At 49.2% G+C, this 1,324-nt stretch overlaps 1 annotated feature.

Moving 5' to 3' along the window:
* Positions 475-976: an enhancer, noted in NCBI's record as "H3K27ac hESC enhancer chr1:119059627-119060128 (GRCh37/hg19 assembly coordinates)". NCBI's record gives its function as "activates a minimal SCP1, AML or CMV promoter by ChIP-STARR-seq in naive H9 embryonic stem cells {active_cell/tissue: H9 hESC(naive)}" and the evidence as "EXISTENCE:reporter gene assay evidence [ECO:0000049][PMID:30033119]".

Genomic DNA, 1,324 nt, shown 5'->3' with positions numbered 1-1,324 from the left:
TCCAAAGAAGACATACAAATGGCTAACAGGTAAATGAAAAATGCTTTATGTCGGGGGTGTTCCAAGATGGCCGAATAGGAACAGCTCAGGTCTGCAGCTCCCAGCAGGATCAACGCAGAAGACGAGTGACTTCTGCATTTCCAACTGAGGTACCTGGTTCATCTCATTGGGACGGGTTGGACTGTGGGTGCAGCCCACAGGGGACGAGCTGACACAAGTCAGGGAATCCCCTCACCTGGGAAGCACAAGGGGTCGGGGGATTTCCCTTTCCTAGCCAAAGGAAGCTGTGACAGATTACCTGGAAAAACGGGACACTCCAGCCCAAATACTCTGCTTTTCCCAAGGTCTTAGCAACCAGCTGACAAGGTGATTATCTCCCATGCCTGGCTTGATGGGTCCCACACCCACAGAGCCTTGCTAACTGGTAGCACAGCAGTCTGAGATAGAATTGCAAGGCGGCAGCCTGGCTTGGGGAGGGGCGTCTGCAATTACTGAGACTTGAGTAGGTAAACAAAGCCACCAGGAAGCTCAAACTGGGCAGAACCCACCGCAGCTCAACAAGGCCTACTGCCTCTAGACTCCACCTCTGTGTGCAGGATATAGCTGAACAAAAGGCAGCAGACGGCTTCTGCAGACTTAAACGTCCCTGATTGACAGCAGACAGCGGTTCTCCCAGCACTGCGTTTGAGCTCTGAGAAAGAACAGACTGCCTCCTGAAGTGGGTCCCTGACCCCCACGTAGCCTAACTGGGAGCCACCTCCCAGTAGGGGCTGACAGACACCTTATGTAGGCAGCCGCCCCTCTGGGATGAACGTTCCAGAGGAAGGATCAGGCAGCAATATTTGCTGTTCTACAATATTTGCTGTTCAGCAGCCTCTGCTGGTGATACCCAAGCAAACAGGATGTGGAGTGGACCTCCAGAAAACTCCAACAGACATGCAGCTGAAGCATCTGATTATTAGAAGGAAAACTAACAACAGAAAGGAATAGCATCAACATCAACAAAAAGGACATCCACACCAAAAACCCATCTGTGGGTCACCATCATCAAAGACCAAAGGTAGATAAAACCACAAAGATGGGGATAAATCAGAGCAGAAAAGCTGAAATTTCTAAAAATCAGAGTGCCTCTTCTCCTCCAAAGGATCGCAGCTCCTCGCCAGCAACAGAACAAAGCTGGGCGGAGAATGACTTTGACAAATTGACAGAAGTAGGCTTCAGAAGGTTGGTATTAACAGACTTCTCTGAGCTAAAGAAAGATGTTCAAACCCATTGAAAGAAAGCTAAAAACCTTGAAAAAAAGATTAGACGAATGACTAACTAG

This window comes from Homo sapiens, chromosome 1, assembly GCF_000001405.40.
Source record: "Homo sapiens chromosome 1, GRCh38.p14 Primary Assembly".
NCBI classification, from domain to species: Eukaryota; Metazoa; Chordata; class Mammalia; order Primates; family Hominidae; genus Homo; species Homo sapiens.
This window is presented reverse-complemented; position numbering and strand designations above follow the sequence as displayed.